The 16,789-nt window shown below is 34.7% G+C and overlaps 1 protein-coding gene across 3 annotated transcripts in view; it reads right to left on the reverse strand.

The window, feature by feature from the left end:
- The window catches only part of SEMA3A (semaphorin 3A), a 536,949-nt gene that overhangs the window by 147,147 nt on the left and 373,013 nt on the right, over window positions 1–16,789 (reverse strand). For all 3 annotated transcript variants that reach the window (XM_005250110.4, XM_047419751.1, NM_006080.3), the window contains one exon: window positions 7,547–7,666. In XM_005250110.4, coding sequence (XP_005250167.1) covers window positions 7,547–7,666 — 120 coding nt within the window. The remainder of the gene's footprint in view (window positions 1–7,546; window positions 7,667–16,789) is intronic.

Raw genomic sequence — 16,789 nt, forward strand, 5'->3', positions numbered from 1 at the left:
GCATGCTGTCAGAGTTACCACATATTGTATGGGGGTTTTTTTTGACAGTAACTAAGTATATGCTCTTTATATTTAAAATTAAGTACCAGCAAAATTGGAAAAGAAATCCAATTAAAATTAGTTATAGCAATGCAACATGACAATGACATTGCTATGTATACTGAAAAGTAAATACAATTTTGCAGTGTGAACATAGTCCTAGTACCCAGAAGCTACAGTCATTGCGGTGGGCAAATACACTTTCATGTGCTCTGGGATGATTTAATTCTCTCACCATTTTTCTCTATCTCAACCACAGCAAAATCTTCCTTCATACCATGAACTCTGGCCTTACTTTGGTCCTTAGTTGGCAGAATATAGCATTTGCATATCGAGTCAGGCTTTGTTTCTTTCTCATTAGCCCAATACAATTAAAGGAGCATTTTTGGCATTTAAATAATCATAAGCTTCAAGCAAATGAGGGTACTAAAATTTTAAATTAAAAAAAATAAATTATGACTGTGGGATAGCCATCCAAATAATTAGAATGTGCTTATTTCATTTTTTCACATTAATATCAGAATAAATCATCACAGTTAAAAACAAGACTGAGAGATAACTTACTGATGTCCATTTATTAGAAACACATTGCAGGAGGAGATGAAGGTATTCTGATTTCAGGAAATTCAGTCTAAGTTTGTTATGCTACTTTTCTTATATTTTAAAAAAATAAAATATTTTTTTCTCATCTGCAGATTCAAGTTGTGTTTCCACTCTTAAACTTTGGTTTTAAAATGAAGTTATTTACACAAGGAGACAAAGAGGTAAAAAATGAAAATAAAAATAAAACATAGAACTAGAGTCGAGAGGTAAAAGAAGGATTATGAAGGCTGGAGAATGAAAGGGAAGATGAAAAAGTACCAAACAGGTGAACAGGCAATGGGATTTAGTGTTATTTTTCATGTTTTTGTAAATTTAATATTTATAACAAATTAATGGAGGCTTTTATGAATAGAAATTTCCTCTTAAAGTAGATTATATGGGAAATATGTGTAAGGGAATCAATCAAAAGAGGACCCATATATGAGAAAGAGTAAGTAGGAGATAAATAACTCCAGTGACTGTCTCACCCCAGTAAATGTAAAAGCTTTGATCCAAACTAGGTATTAGTCTACAAGGAATAGGAAAACATGTTTATGGTTAATATTAACTGTATACGATGTAGTCCTTATCTGCATTGATTTCTGGTGAATCAAGAAGTCATTCAAAAATCAGATACTATAGTGCTCACTTCGGCAGCACATACACTAAAAAATAAAGTACTATAGATAATATATTATTTTAATAGGTGATTGGGAATGGCATTATTGTACCAATATGGCCTTATAAAAACTGTTTAAATTTGTCCAAATACTTTACCTGGCAATAGGTATGCTATATGTGCTAAAACACAAAACTAAATATCCTTCAAGGTAAGAATTTAATGCTAACACTTCTATTTCTATCTGTCACTGTTTTTAGGGGAAAAAAAGCTGTCAAGTATTATCAGTAAAAAACTGTACAATTGAACATACAAGAGGTACAGGATAAATGAATGTTAATCTCATAACTATTGTGTTTATATATCAAATATTCAGGGAAATCAAGTCAAAATATAAAATGCTCAATTGAAATGTTTTAATTAAGGGTGTGAAGGATGTTCATTTGGATTTTGGTATCTATTTTTTTAGCATTTTGAAATTTTTTTATTGTTTCAAAGTATGACTTAGGTCACTTTACTCCCTCACTTAAGCACTACCTCTATTAATTTTGAGAAATAGTCTTACTGATAATATTTAGAATTTAGAACTTTAACAGTCCAAGCAAAAATACACTAGTGAGTTGTTATCTCAGAATTTATTAACTGCAAAGCTTCTCCTCAAGTACAAAGAGCAGATCATTTTAAAATTTAAGTTTGAATATAAATGATGGTACTTTATTAAGCATAGTAACTTGTACAAGTCTATCTTCCAACATGATTCAAGTATTGAAAGATTAGGAAAGAAAAACCTAGAAACCACTATGGACTTTAATCACATTTGGCTCAGGTCCATAGTGCAAATGAGGGATATGCTGCATCTGATGGAGACAATGAACAGCTGAGTTGCCAATGAATCTCGACTTTTCTCACTGAGGCTAGCATGCTACAAAATAAATACAGACTCCAATGTAAGATCTCAGAAAGACAATCCACCTACCCAAAAGCAACTCCTTATTGTTTTCCCAAGATATCTGAATTTCTCAGTTCCGTACCAATTCGTAGAAATAAACTTGCTCTTCATTGGACTAAATAGTATAATAAATTGAAAGAAGTAACTCAACTAGAATGGGTTAGATTAGAAGTATAAATTAGTTGACAGAGCATTACCTAGTACTTAAATAACATTTTGGCCTGGGGCACTGTTACTAAGAGGATTGATTCAAAGTTTTGCATCAGAGCACACTCCTATTTCTAGTGGAAGGGAAGAACCAGACAAAACATTTTATTTCATATATAGATATATTGGTTGTCATTGTGGAAATGACCTTAGAGATAGCCATTAAGCCTCATTGCATTTCTTAATGTCCCTTTGGTTCTATCATAAATCTCAATCATGATATTATGAGAGTATTTATAGAGTTAATACAATTCAGCTCTCATCTGGGCCTGCCTTTTTTTTTATTTTAGATTTCCTGCCAGTAAGTAGAAAAGACCCATTTGGAATTTGAGAAAACATCCTGAGACATCTTCGAAAATCTGTACTTCTCCTAAATTCATACTTTGTTTTATTAACAGATGTAAATTTGAAGGGGAAATACCATATCCTGTAAGCCATTTGGGAATATTTTGCCTCTCAAGGATGACTCACACTTTTCATTTCAATGGCATGGATGCTGAGAGCTTAAACTCCAAACTCATGTGTACTCTAACTCTAAATCAATTTTTCCATGAACTCTGCAAGCATTTTATGATAAACACACACATGTGTATGATGTATGTGACCTCACTGGCAGTTTTCTGCAGTGTCAAGTGTTATTGGAAGATACCCAAGAATTGATTGACACATATCTTACAGAACTGGAGTTAATTAATAGGTCTACCAATTCCCAAATGTACCACAGGAAAGAGAAAATCTGTTTAAGACAGCAATCAATGACATACTGTGTGTGGTCAGGAGGCATTCACGATACAGCTAAAGTAGATTTTGGAATACGCTATTCAGGAGTGTAAATACAGTCAGGTGACACATAACATTTTGGTTAATGATGAACGGCATGTAGGATGGTAGGCCCCTAGGATTATAATGGATCTAAAAAATTCTTATTGCATAGTGACCTCATAGCCATTGGAAAGCCTTGTCTCTCTTTACATATGTTTAGATGAACAAATACTTATTATTATGCTACACATTGCCTACAATATTCAGTACAGTAACATGCTGTACAGGTTTATAGCCTTAGGAGCAATAGGCTCCACCATGTAGCCTAGGTATATAGTAGGCTATCCCATCTAGATTGGTGTAAGTACACTCTATGATTTTTGCACAACAGTAAAATAGCCTAAGGACATATTTCTCAGATTCTATCTCTGCTGTTAAACAACGCATGACTGTATTGCTATTAAAATGCCTGAAGAGTAAAAGAGGTCTATTTTCATAACTAGAAGACGAAACTGAAGGTTATTTTGCAAACGGTTGTATTATTACTTTAAAGGAACCATTAATTTCTTCCTATAAGATCCAAAGCTATTAAATAAGAAAGTAAGCCCTGTTTTCCTTCAAAGTGATGGGTTTTACTTCTGGGACATTCTGCCATATATGATGATAAGTCTATAATGTCATTTCCTGACAATGGAGTTTCAACATTCTTGAAAACAGAATGTAAGATGATTAGTTGTTTTAAAGGAAGAACACTGCAAAGAAAAAACTGCATGTTTAAATGTCCATGAAAGTCTTAATAAAAACAACAAATGATGTCTTTTTTTCTATGATAAAATTATTTGTTATATGTCTAGACAAAATTTTAAAAGGAGATTCGTCTTTCATTATTTCACATTGCATGGGGCAGGTAATAGCAAAGTACACACACAATGTCTAAACTAGAATTTAGGAGAAAAATAAGTCCTTTATCTGAAAAGTTGTCCTTGAGAACAAAAGTTCATATATTCAAACTCTATGACAGTTTATGAACTCTAAGCCAATAATCCTGGCCTCTGTTTCGATTGCTATTTTATTTCTCACTCTCCCGATCTATTACTGTCTTCTCCCAATAGTAGAAGTATACACTGTCTCTTTTTTTCAACTTCACCAACAGCATAACAGTTTAAATCCAAAGGTAGTGTTTTAAGTAAAATATAGATGAATTTAAAGCAGATTCTCTCTTAAGGCAGCTTAAACATTGAAAATTAAATTTGATGTAGTCTAGACAACCTATATTGATAATATCTTTTCCAGAATTTCATAGATTGACTGTCTAGACTGCTTCAAATTCCCCAGGTAATTGCATAATCATCTTACTTCTGATCCCCTAAATAGTCTGGAACAGTATTTCACAATCTATAGTTATCATGCAAATCAAAATCACTGAGCTTCTGAAGGAGGACCTCTCTCAAAGGCTGTGAGTTTCAGAGTCTCAGGAAAATACTTGCATTTCAATCTCCCACCTCAGAATGCTCGGGCGGGAAGCTTTATATATTAGCTATTTGGGTAGAGGAAATCCTGGTAAATGGCCTGGCTCCAGAACCTGTACCTCTTCATTTCCCCAGCTGCCCACCCATACAGCAGCAATGAGTAGTTGATGAGTGGAAGAGGAACTAGACTGTTAACTCTATTAAAATCTCAACTTCAAAAATCAACATTTCAGGAAAATGATAAAAATGCAAGAATAGCATATGGCATTTTAATTTAAATGACCATCAACATCATGTAAGCCTCACATTTAAAAGGGGGAAGTTAGGAGAGGTGCAGAATCACCCGGCAGCCATGAGAACCCAGTGCCATAATTTACAATATCTGATGAAGTGAGAAACATTTAAGAGGGCAAAGTGACAATTGCTAGCAAGCAAAACAGCAACACAGCTTTTAGGCTGTGATGCAGATTTATATTTTGTATTAAATACAAAATATAAAAATACAAAATGCAAGGTATAGACTTGCATTTTAAAATATTTATAGTTTCTAATATTAATTGACTTTTTTCAGCCACCATTATCCATTAGACAATGTTTAACTTTCACAACTGTATGAGGTACAGACCATTTTCCTTACAAATTTCTAGCTTAGAAACTTAGATACAGAGGAGGTAAATAATTTGCACCAGATTAAGCAGCTAGTACCAAGCTGAGGTTGAATGCAAGTCCTGCAGTCTGAGGCTAGAGGATATGCTTTCAACAATGATGGGATTAAAACTCCTTGAGTTTCTACAGGGAAAAAAAAAAAGAAAAAAGGCAATGGGTCATACTGTGCTAGGAGCAGTGGAAGGCAGTTAGAGGTAATAAGTCAACCTTGCATTTAAAATATACAGACACTAAGACTCAAAAGATTGTTTTTAGTTTGTGTTGCATGTTATGAGACAGAGTCTGAGAGACGTTAAATAATATTTCCAGTGCTCCACAGCTAGTAAGTTGTAGAGCAAGATCTGAAGCTAGATGTGACACCAAAGTCCAGTCCTTTCTGCTAATTTGTGCTAAAGGTTCAGCATTCCTGCTGGGAGCAGTGGCTCACGCCTGTAATCCGAGCACTTTGGGAGGCTGAGGTGGGTGGATTGCCTGAGCTAGGAGTTCGAGACCAGCCTAAGCGACATGGTGAAACCCTGTCTCTACTAAAATACAAAAAATTAGCCGGACATGTCGGCTTGCACCTGTAATCCCAGCTACTTGGGAGGCTGAGACAGGAGAACTGCTTGTACCTGGGAGGCAGAGGTTGCAGTGAGCCCAGATTGTGCCACTGCACTCCAGCCTGGGCAACAGAGTGAGACTCCATACTCACAAGAAAAAAAAAAAAAAAAAGGTCAGCATTTCTGATTCCATTGCCAATCATGTAGAGCATAATTCCTGACGCATGTAAAAAGTGCAATATCATGACTCATGTAAAAAGTGCAATATCATGCGGAGGGAGTTCTCTAGAGCTATCTTCAGAATATAGAAAAGTGAGACAATCACCTTGGGCCCAAGTTTTAGGACAACTGATGTATTACAATAGGAATTGGTTGAGAAGACAGCAAAGAGAGAGTGACTAAATCAGGTGCTAAAACAAATTATGTGTACAAGGTCTCCAGGACCATGTGCATAAATTTATCCCTAATTTAATCAATGTAAAACAAGCAACTTCACTAGAATTGCCTGTCCTAAAGTTACTTTTTACTTAAAATTCTTCAGTCTGTCAGCATAAATACTATACATATGGACTTATAAAAAAGAGAAGAAGGAAGGATGTGGTTGGGGAAATAGGATGATGAGGAGCCACTGGCAACTGGTGAGATCTTGGGAATGTGTCTTCCCTGGTTCATCAAGAAGAAAAAATAAGTGTGTTTAGTCTAGAAACCACATAATCTCTAAGGTGCTTTCTTACACAAAGAAGATATAACACAAACTGTTTTGATTTCTAATTCATTTGGGTCAAAAGACATATTTGTATCACTTTGGGACACTTCATGAAATTTAGGGAGAGAGTCTAAAGTTTAAGTTATAAAGAAGTAACTACCAGGTCAATTTTATCTTATCTTTAGGCTATCAGAAATATTTCAAGAATAAGTCCTTTATTTGTTGAGTATTTCTGAATTCCAGTTTTGAAGAAAATTCTGTCACCAATGATTTTCTCACCACGTGAACACTTTTGTTCCTCTTAGGATTTTGTGCCAAAAATTACAAGAGGGTTTATAATTGAAGGCTATTGATAAGCCAAATTCACCAAACTGCTTTCAACATTAGCAACCTTTTCTTTATCTTGATTTTTGCTTAAATGTACATAATTTCCTCACTAAAACATCTTTACAAGGAATAGACAGATTTTTTAAAAAAACATATTTTTTTCTTTTCCATACCACCAAATTAATAACGAAAAATATACAATCAAAGCTTAGCCAAGCAAGAATACAAATGTGAATAATGTGAGTCAAACTTGAGATCAGATCATTGTGCAAATGTATGGCATCCTATCTTAATCCCTAGGCAGAAGAAAACAACTGGGTGGCAGACACTTCTGGCTGAGGATGGAAAAGGAGGAGAAGGCTGGCAATATACAAATGAAGGAGAAAACACCACACATTCAGCCTGCTGACATCTGCTGCACATGCAAAATGGATTGGACTCTGTAATCCAGGGTGAAAACAAATGCTTTCTTCCTTCCTTCCTCCTGCTCCCTAGTTTTTGTTGAGTAATGTTCTCATTCTTTTTGCATTCACAGATTAAAATTAATAACAGCATCTGAGTTTGAAGTAGGTCCCACTGAATAGTGAACCACAAGCAAAATAAACTGAAGAAATTAGTAATGAAGCATTTTGAATAGAAAGGGGTCATGGACAAATATAATTTTTAAAAAGCCAGCGTTACCTCAGGATGATGTCCAATTTCAATGTAGGTGCAAATTGGATGAAAAGCCCCCGTTCCACAGGCGTACAAGTGAGTCTGATTATATGCCTTAAGTACCTTGATGAAATTAGCACATTCTTTCTGTAAGACAAAAGGAAAACCAAAGAGTTTCAGCAATCAGCATGACTGAGGTATCCTCTAGGGTGCTAGGCATGCTGGAACAGATTTGTCTTTTGTTTTCTTTCTTTTTTTTTTTTTGGCATCCCTTTCACAACATTTTAAGGACTTATTTATTATTCTATTGTTTTGCTTATATTATAATATGCATTAAAATATAGAGTTTCTTACTCTGGTGAGAACAATTATTTTATGCCCTTCCGTCAGTCTTCCATTAAAACTATTTTTAATTTATTTATACAAAAGTGGAAAAGAAATTTAGACAATCAATAATCACAGGTGATTTTTCCAGAAATGAGGAGAGCACCAAATTACTTGATTAACTAATGAATTAATCAAACAAAATGATGGGGAAAATTTACTTGCAAAAATCAGTTTTCAGTTCCATTTTAGGAAAAGAAAACAAAAATATAATATGACCCTCTAATAAACATAAAGTTTAAACATCATTAGTAACCCATTTTGGAAATATCCAAATGAGTATTCACATGGTAAATAATAAAAACTGCATTCAAATTATTTTGTTAAAGGCTATAGACTTTCTTATCTACTTTCTTTTTTCTATAAACATTTGGAATTAAGAACCAAATATGTAACTATAGATGCAGTTAAGGATCAAGCGTGGACAACAGTACAAGCAAGGTGGGCACACATGACAGGACTGGGTTGTTCCTGGCACTTCTAAGTGTGTCACACTCCCAAAGTCATTCTCTATGACTTGCCACTTTTCAAGTGAAAGCTCAGAGTGCTTTATGTAGTCAGTTGGAGCTTACAACTGAGGTGGTAAAATTATTTGAGTACATTTCCAAATGACATCTGTATTCTATACTTGCAGCTGATTATTTTTATCTTAATTCCATTGCCCCCATAAAAGAAGGATCAGGCAACCAAATTTAAGCAGATTAATTGATATTTAAATTCAAATAATTGCTGTCTATTATCACTTATTTTTCTAGGATGAAACCTGATGATGACCCTAAAATACATTGCCCTAAAAATGAATGTGGCCTATTTAAAATAAAATGCGAAAGTTTCTAGTTATGACTCCTCTCTCATGCTTTCCTAACATATGCTGAGTACTTTGGGGGTAACTAAAATAAACATAATTTCTTCCACTGTTTTGCTACACAGATCCTAAGTCTTTCTTTTGTCTGGTAAGGCATTACAATGTATAAAATTACTCTCTGAAATAAATTGATCTTGCAAGTTGTTATGAGGAAAAATTTCCTAGCTTAAAAGGTATGTGGATCTCATCCATGTTTCACTTAAATAGGGTACCTCTTAGGGGTAAAACTATGAAACAGATATAACTTAACTTCCACTACTCTTAGCAACAAGCTCTCCATTCTGTAAGAGTCTCTCCTCCTTCCCCAAGAGAATAGGGCATGAAGGCTTGGGCAGAGGAAAGAGGTTGTAGAAAGGGAAACATCTGATAAACTCATTTACAAACCAGGCATTCATGGGCCTTTCCCAAAGGATTTATCTGTATTCTTAAAAAAAATTCAGTCATTTGCAAAGAAGCCATTTTCAGGAAAATGTTTACTTTGAAACACATAGGTGGCCACATACTCTGCTTTTATATAAAGATTATCATCTCTGATTGTGGGCTCAATATTATAGTATTCAAGATTAGAAATAACCAGTTCCAGCACCATATGCTGAAACCAAGAAATTGGCTGTGTACATATTGGTAAGCAAACAGATATTCTAATAAATAATAGTGGCAGACCCAGATGGATGTCTTTTTCATTCTAGAAAAGAACAAGATTTCAGTCTGCATGCCATGCCTTTAAAGATATGCATGCAATTTTTTCCACAAACCCCAATTTTTCAGTCCTGTCAGTATCACCTAAGTGCCTCCTTAGAAATATGACAGTGAACTTACTTCTCCCTAATAAAAAAGGAAAAACATATTTTACCAGTAAGAAGACTTGTGAACAAAACAAAGGTTCATGTCACCTCTGCAACTGTTATGAATCATAATGTCCCAGAATTTGTGGGCTCTTTATCTCTTATAGATTGAATAACTGACTAGCAATTTATAGTGACTACATCTGTCCTTCCAAGGAAACTAGCAGATTGTAATTAATGACTGAAAAACTCTCAAGGTTCTTGCTAACTATGAAATTGGGCTCCACTGAATATCATAATTTTAATTTGTTCTCTATTAACTACTAAAGAGGAACCACTATAATATGACAACAATTCCCCTACAGAGCTGTTGGAACAAAATCAATCACAGGACCAAAGCTGTGAAACCTGGCAAAGGGTTCTACCTAGAGTGCTGATAACGGGAATCTGTCTGTGTTACAAAGCAACTAGACTCACCCTATTGGCCTAAGGCCTGGAATGATTCCCTTCATTTCCCCACTGAACTCTCCCAGTTGGCAGCAGGTTGTACTGTTACCATGCCCTGGGGGCAAGCTCAATATTATTTTGGAAGTGAAGGTTGATGCAAATAGAAGGGAGAGAAATTTCTTGGGCTTAGAGGATATAAAGATGCTTGAAATGAAACAAAGGAATGGAAGGAAATACTTTCAAATTTGGTTAAAAATAGTTGAGAGGAGACTCATCGAAAACAATGGAGGAGGAAAGTGCATTAAAAGAACTGGACAGAGAAGAAGCAAAAATTTGACAGAGACATTGTTAGTAAGGATTTGTTCTTAACAGAAAACCTACATAAAAGAGTATCAATCCTGTCATTCATTTGCCTTCATTCTCTAGCTTGTTGCTGCCAAGGTTTTCGAGTGTTCCAAAACAGGATATTCATTTTATTTGGAAGCAGCTTGGACATTCCTCTAAAAAAGAAGGAAGTGTGGCAGAAAAAGGAAACACACTTCACACATTTCTGCTCTAGGGAGACAGAAGAAGAGTGTTTCTGACCTTTTCTTGAACCATGACGATTCTTAAAACTCAGAATGTAATGTACTTTTTGGCCTTAAACTACTGCACTGCTTTGCTCAGCACTGGAGGATTTACAATGTAATAAAGAGAGTGGAATCAGTTCAAAATGAATTCATTTTTCAAACCTTGATCCTTTTTGGAATTTAAGTTGATGAACACAGACAAGTTTAGCAACAAGTTGGCAGTTGGCTTCCCAAGAGTCAGGCAACCATATTGACCTCTTATTTTACTGAAATGTTCCCCAGAGCAACAGTGTTATAGATTGTTAGCTAGAAATAAAAGTAAGGGCAGTTATAAACCAGTAAAATCCAAGGCCACACCTGAGGAGTAATGATTCATCACCCTTAGTGACAAACCACTTACCCTTATTTTTTTAAGGGCCTCTTGTCTTTTCAGATCAAATGGATAGAGGAATTATGTATAAAGATATTACCTGGAGAAATAAATTTAGAAGAAAATGTCTACCCCTAGAAAAAGATACAGGAGCCAAAAGCACAGTGATTCAAAAACAAACATTGCAGATATGAAGCACTGATTAGACTGTGTTACGCAGACTTTTCCTGGACGGTTACAAAAATAAAGTCCATCCATCTGTCAAAACAACTGCTCCATGCATGAAAATTAAACAGAATTGAGGTGTTTTTAACTAACTTCCGATAATTATACTTTCTACAAAAGAATATGATTTACCTCCAATTCCAATTACCTCCTTGCATGTTCTTAAATTCTGGATGGAGCAGTTAAATTTTACTCTAAGTAAGCGAAGAGAAAAGAAGAGAAGACTTGTGAACGTGAACAATCTCTATTCAAATATATTCAGTTCATGATTAAATCAAACAACTTGTTCTGGCTCAACTATAAATCAGTCCAAAATGAATGGGTAGCATATAACATTGACTCAGGTCAGTGAGAATTCCTGTAAAAAGAAGAAAAAAAATGCTTCTATCCCATCGATAGTTTGTGTAGAAATATTTTGGTGCATAATCTAGCAGCTGGGAAAGCAAAGGAAACCTTTTCCTATCATGATGGGTGGATACATTTCTGCCTGAAAACCCATTAATAAGCTTAATTCCTGAAGTTAATCTGTTGACTTTCTTTTTCTCTGGTCAATTTATCTGGCAAGCTAGCTGAATACTGGAATCTTCGTGCCAAAGCAGTAATCCGTGAGATTGTTCCTGTCACTCACTTTATCCCTTCCTCTATTTAAGCTTTTCCACACTTATCTGGCAATAATGTTTAGTCTTTTTTTTTCTTTTAACATTGTGCTATTACAGCTGTAATCCGATCATCCATAATTGTGTTTAATACTTCACTATTCACTAAAGGAGGTTAGAAATCTCTTCTCCAAAGAGGCTTATCTAATAAAACTAAAATATAAACCATGTTATAATTATAATATTAGCCTTCTAATGTTGAATTTGTGACTTGGAATTTTTTAACACTCATCTTTTTAAGTGATGAATAGGCAGTTCTGTCCATTTTGGGAGGCATTTTTACCTTCAGTATTTAGAATATGCCATAATAAAATGAACTGAACTTTCCACATCAATGCTTTTATATTTTTTAGAGATTTGAAATAATACTGACTCAACTAACACAACAAAGTTACCATTATATATAGCCAGTTATTTTGGTATGTAGGCATATTCATAATAATTGAACTATATCACCATTAAACCTATGATAACTGAAAAACAACTTTTAAAGTGGCTTGAATTATATGATTAAACTAAATGAAGACTCTCTGTACAAGGCTCCCAAATTATTTTACTTAAATGCTCATTTCAGTTAAGTGCCCAATTTGACTGCTCTTTCCCCTCCAGATTGACTATTTGTTTTGAAGTCCTAGAAATATTGTTCAAGACTCTATAAACATTTTTCTTTCAAATTACTTGAAACCTTCAAACATGTTCAAAATGATTATACACTAGGCACTATAGACCATGCTATTAGCAAAAGCTGACTGCTGTGATTTTCTTTTATTTAAAGGAGTTCAAAAAATTCACTTTGAAATTCTGTGTGGACCATAGAAGCTTATGATATCTATTTTTAGGCTTATGTTTTCTTTTATATTATACTATCACTCTGATTCATCAGGATGTGTGCCATTCATTTGCATGATTTGATTGTGGTCCATTATATGTACCTAGCATAACCTTTCTTCACCTCATATTGCAATAAATGCAGACAATTAAAAATATTCTGGGAAATCTACATAAATATGTTTCCTACCGAACCAGGAAAATTATGAAGTACTCACAATCCTCACCCTGATTTCAAAAATGATATTCTGTGGTTTCCAATTTTATGCAAGGTGCTGAATATTTAGTGTTCATGCCTTAATGCAACCAAGTCATTGGTTTACATGAAGTAAGGAGAGTTACAATGTAAAGGAATTTATTGTGGACAAAATTATTTGGCATATTTAATTCTAACATACATGCCTTTACCATAACAGAAATCATTACACATAAAAGAGAGATGAACTGCATCTTTAATTGCATGTGAGATGTAGCCTTAGGGAAAGACAGAAAAACTGAGCCCATATTTTAGAGGAATGCTTGATTTCATTCACATCTACCTCCTTTCTACCCCATCTTGCCTAATATCAAAAATTAATTTTTGTTGGAGTCTTTAATGTCCAAAGTACTGAAGTCTGTTTTATAGTTATAATATAAAATATTATCTTAATACATCTTATAATAATTGAAGACCCTAATCAAGTTTAGTGTTTGTGACATAGACACTGATGTATCACTTATTCAAATGCAAGTGCCTGTGGCATATTTCACACGTATACTCTTTTCCTTTTCTTTCTTTTTTTCATGACCAAGTTTAGTTGCTTTAAAAGGAGATTAAAAAGTAGAACATTCGGAAAGAAAGAACTTTTACAATATAAAAAGGTTTGAAAAGAAGTCAAATGCCCATAGGGTAAATGAATTATCAAACCAGAGTTGTGAGACTCTGTTATAAGCTGAACTCCATTTTCTCAAAATTTATACCTTGAAGCTCTAATCTCTACCATCTGGGAATATGACTCTATTTGGGGATTAGGGTCTTTAAGAAGGTGACTAAGTTAAAATGAGGCCCTTAGTCTAGACCCTAATCCAAACTGGCTGGTGTCTCTATAAGAAGAAACTTGGATACATAAGGAGACATCGGGGCATGAGTGCACAGAGGAAGGACCATGTGAAGAGGCAGCAAGAGGACAGTCATCTGCAAGCCAAAGAGAGGAGGCTCAGAGGAACTCAACCCTGCTTACACCTTGAACTTGGACTTCTGGCCTCCAGAACTAGAACATAAATTTCTGCTGTTTTGGCCACCCAGTCTGTGCCACTTTATTATGGTAGCCCTAATGGAGTAATACAAACATTAAAAAGAAAGTGGGTAATTGGAGGCAACCTGATGCTTGGTTAAAAGATACTTAAATTTACCATTGCTTAAAATATTTTCACCATCAGAACATACATGGTAACAGAATTTTGTCACCTGTCAGCCAACTTTGGATCTTCTGCTTTGTACAGAATTAGATATTAAAAAGGAAATTTTACAAATTTCATTTTTTTCTGGCACAATTTTACTATTTCTTCAAATATCGTCCATATATCGTAATCTTCCCAAATATGCACATATATGTGGATATTTGTATGCAAACCATATGTATATATCAACTTGTAGAAATAATTTATGCACACATTTAAATTTCAGAAATTTGGAATTTTTAAATTTATTTATGTTTAGTGATATGTAGTAAAGATGTTACTTATTGAAGGATATTTGCATTTGAAAAGGCATTCTCAAAAACTTTAAGAAAAAACATGTAGGACAAAACGAACAATTTCATAATGGTAAAACAGAAATTGGGGTAGTTACTTGTATCTCAGTCTTACAATTTAGAGCAGGGGTCCCCAACCTCCAGGCAGACTGGTACCAGTCAGGGTCCTGTTAAGAACAGGCTGCACAGCAGGAGGTGAGCAGCAGGCCGGCCAGCACTACCGCCTGAGCTCCGCCTTCTGTCTGATCAGCTGCTGCATTAGATTCTCGTAGGAGCGTGAACACTTTTATGAACTGTGCATACAAGGGATCTAGGTTGAGGTCTCCTTGTGAGAATCTAATTAATATCTGATGATCTTTGGTGGAACAGTTTCACCCCAAAACCATCCCCTTTTTGGCCTGTGAAAAAATTGTCTTCCATGAAACCAGTCCCCGGTGCCAAAAAGATTGGGGAACCACTGCTTTAAAGTCAGTTAGACATGGGTTAAAATTATTCAGGCATTTTCCATTTGCTGTGTGACTATAAGAAAGTTACTTAGAATCTCTGAGCCTGAGTCTCCTCAACTAAAAATGAGATTAATGATATATTCATGTAAATTACTTAACATGATGACTAGCGCTTATTAATTGATAGGTAACTGGTTATCCAATTCTTAAAATAATTAAACTTCACTATTGTTTGGATATTTCTATGACTGCTTAACTCTCACACTCTTCTACATATTATGCCATTTCACCAATTACGACAAGAGCTCCATTATGAATAGTTCATTCTTTATAAGGATGTAGTTAATAGAGTTTAAGCCTATACTTGGTGCTAAACAGAGATAGATTTAACAAAATTGGTTTTGAGTATTACTCTGTGCCCATTTCTGCTACCAAGGGCAATTGCATTTTGTTTAATAGAATTTCTATGAAAGCCTAGTCCTCTGGCAGTGAAGACTTATAAATTATAATCACTCTTGTTATCAAAGCAGTAAAAATGCCAGGATTCATTTTCTCAACACAACAGCAAATACAGCGTGTGTTAGTCAATAGCTGTGGCAGAATTGTATTGTGCCAAATGAAATAAGCTGGAAAAATATTTCCTCAAATTCCCTTTTCTATAGGTTGGTTTAGGCTGGCTATCAACAAAATCTGCATGAGATTTGGGAGGTATAAATTAAGCTGCAACCATTACACTCCCCAGGTTGTTCTGATCTGCTGGCCACGTTGTTAGCGTGGGGCAGTACCTGGGCCTCCAGGTCCTCTGGCTTCCACCAAATCTCATTTGTTAGTTTCTACAAGACTGAGTCCTGATACTTGTATAGCTCCATGACAAAAGACATCAGTTTCTTCTTTAAGTCACCCAAATCGACCCAAAGAAAGTTAGAGGTAGTAAAAGACACTATGGTCTTAGTTTGTGATTGTGGGTCTCAGTTCTCCTTGCTCTTCCTACTTCATGTTCGGCTTTTCCTCTATAAACATAAACAACTGTAGTTACCTACAACAACTTCACGCCCACTACCTGTCTCAGGCAGTAGCCTTCCATAGAGTTCTTCACCAGCTCTCATGATTGTATAAGGTCTAATTCCCATAATAAAACTTTTTCCATATCAATCACACAGTTGGTCTCTGGTAAAACCATGATGAAAAGATATATCTTACAGCCATAGACTAGCTCATTGTGATATGTAATATAAAGGGAACATAAATTTGGCCTATTTAAAAATACACACATGCTTGTTGTAAGAACTAATGACTAAAGGTCATTAGTTAATAATTTTATTTACTTCTAAATATGAATGATTTCTGCTTTTTAAGTGCATATTAAATTCTATAATCAATAAGTTATATTAATTTTGGTATCATTTCAAGCACAATACTAAAAAAACTATCTTTTAGCATTGAATACATATGGAATAAACACATGCACACATGTATGCATACATAATAGTTACATTTAACACCATGTATAGCATGGATAGTACAGTATATTTTGCACCTAATTTGAATGGAATAGTGAGAAGCTTCAGGAATTTTCTGCTCTTAAAGCCAAAAGTCAAGATTCTGCATCTCTAGAAATAGTGTCAAGTTTTCAGAGCTACCATAATTTTGCAGTCTGTTTTCCATGCTACCAACTAAAAAGTCCAAAAGTAAGTAGACGTATATTAAAATTAAATGGCAGAATTTTGGGAAAGTTTCATGATGTCCTGTGGACATAAGAAGCTGATGATTTTTAGTGTTATTGCACAAATGATTTTTATGTTTCTAAGTCAAGTAAAAGGAAAATAGTCAAAAGTTGGTGATGGCATATTTGTCTTGAGACATAACACGTCTGAGTAAAATATTATCAGAGTCCATGTTAAATACAAAATATGATGGACAGTGTACTCTCAGAAATGAGTAGAAATCCACTTATGAAGATTA

The sequence above is a fragment of the Homo sapiens genome, chromosome 7 (genome assembly GCF_000001405.40).
Source record: "Homo sapiens chromosome 7, GRCh38.p14 Primary Assembly".
NCBI classification, from domain to species: Eukaryota; Metazoa; Chordata; class Mammalia; order Primates; family Hominidae; genus Homo; species Homo sapiens.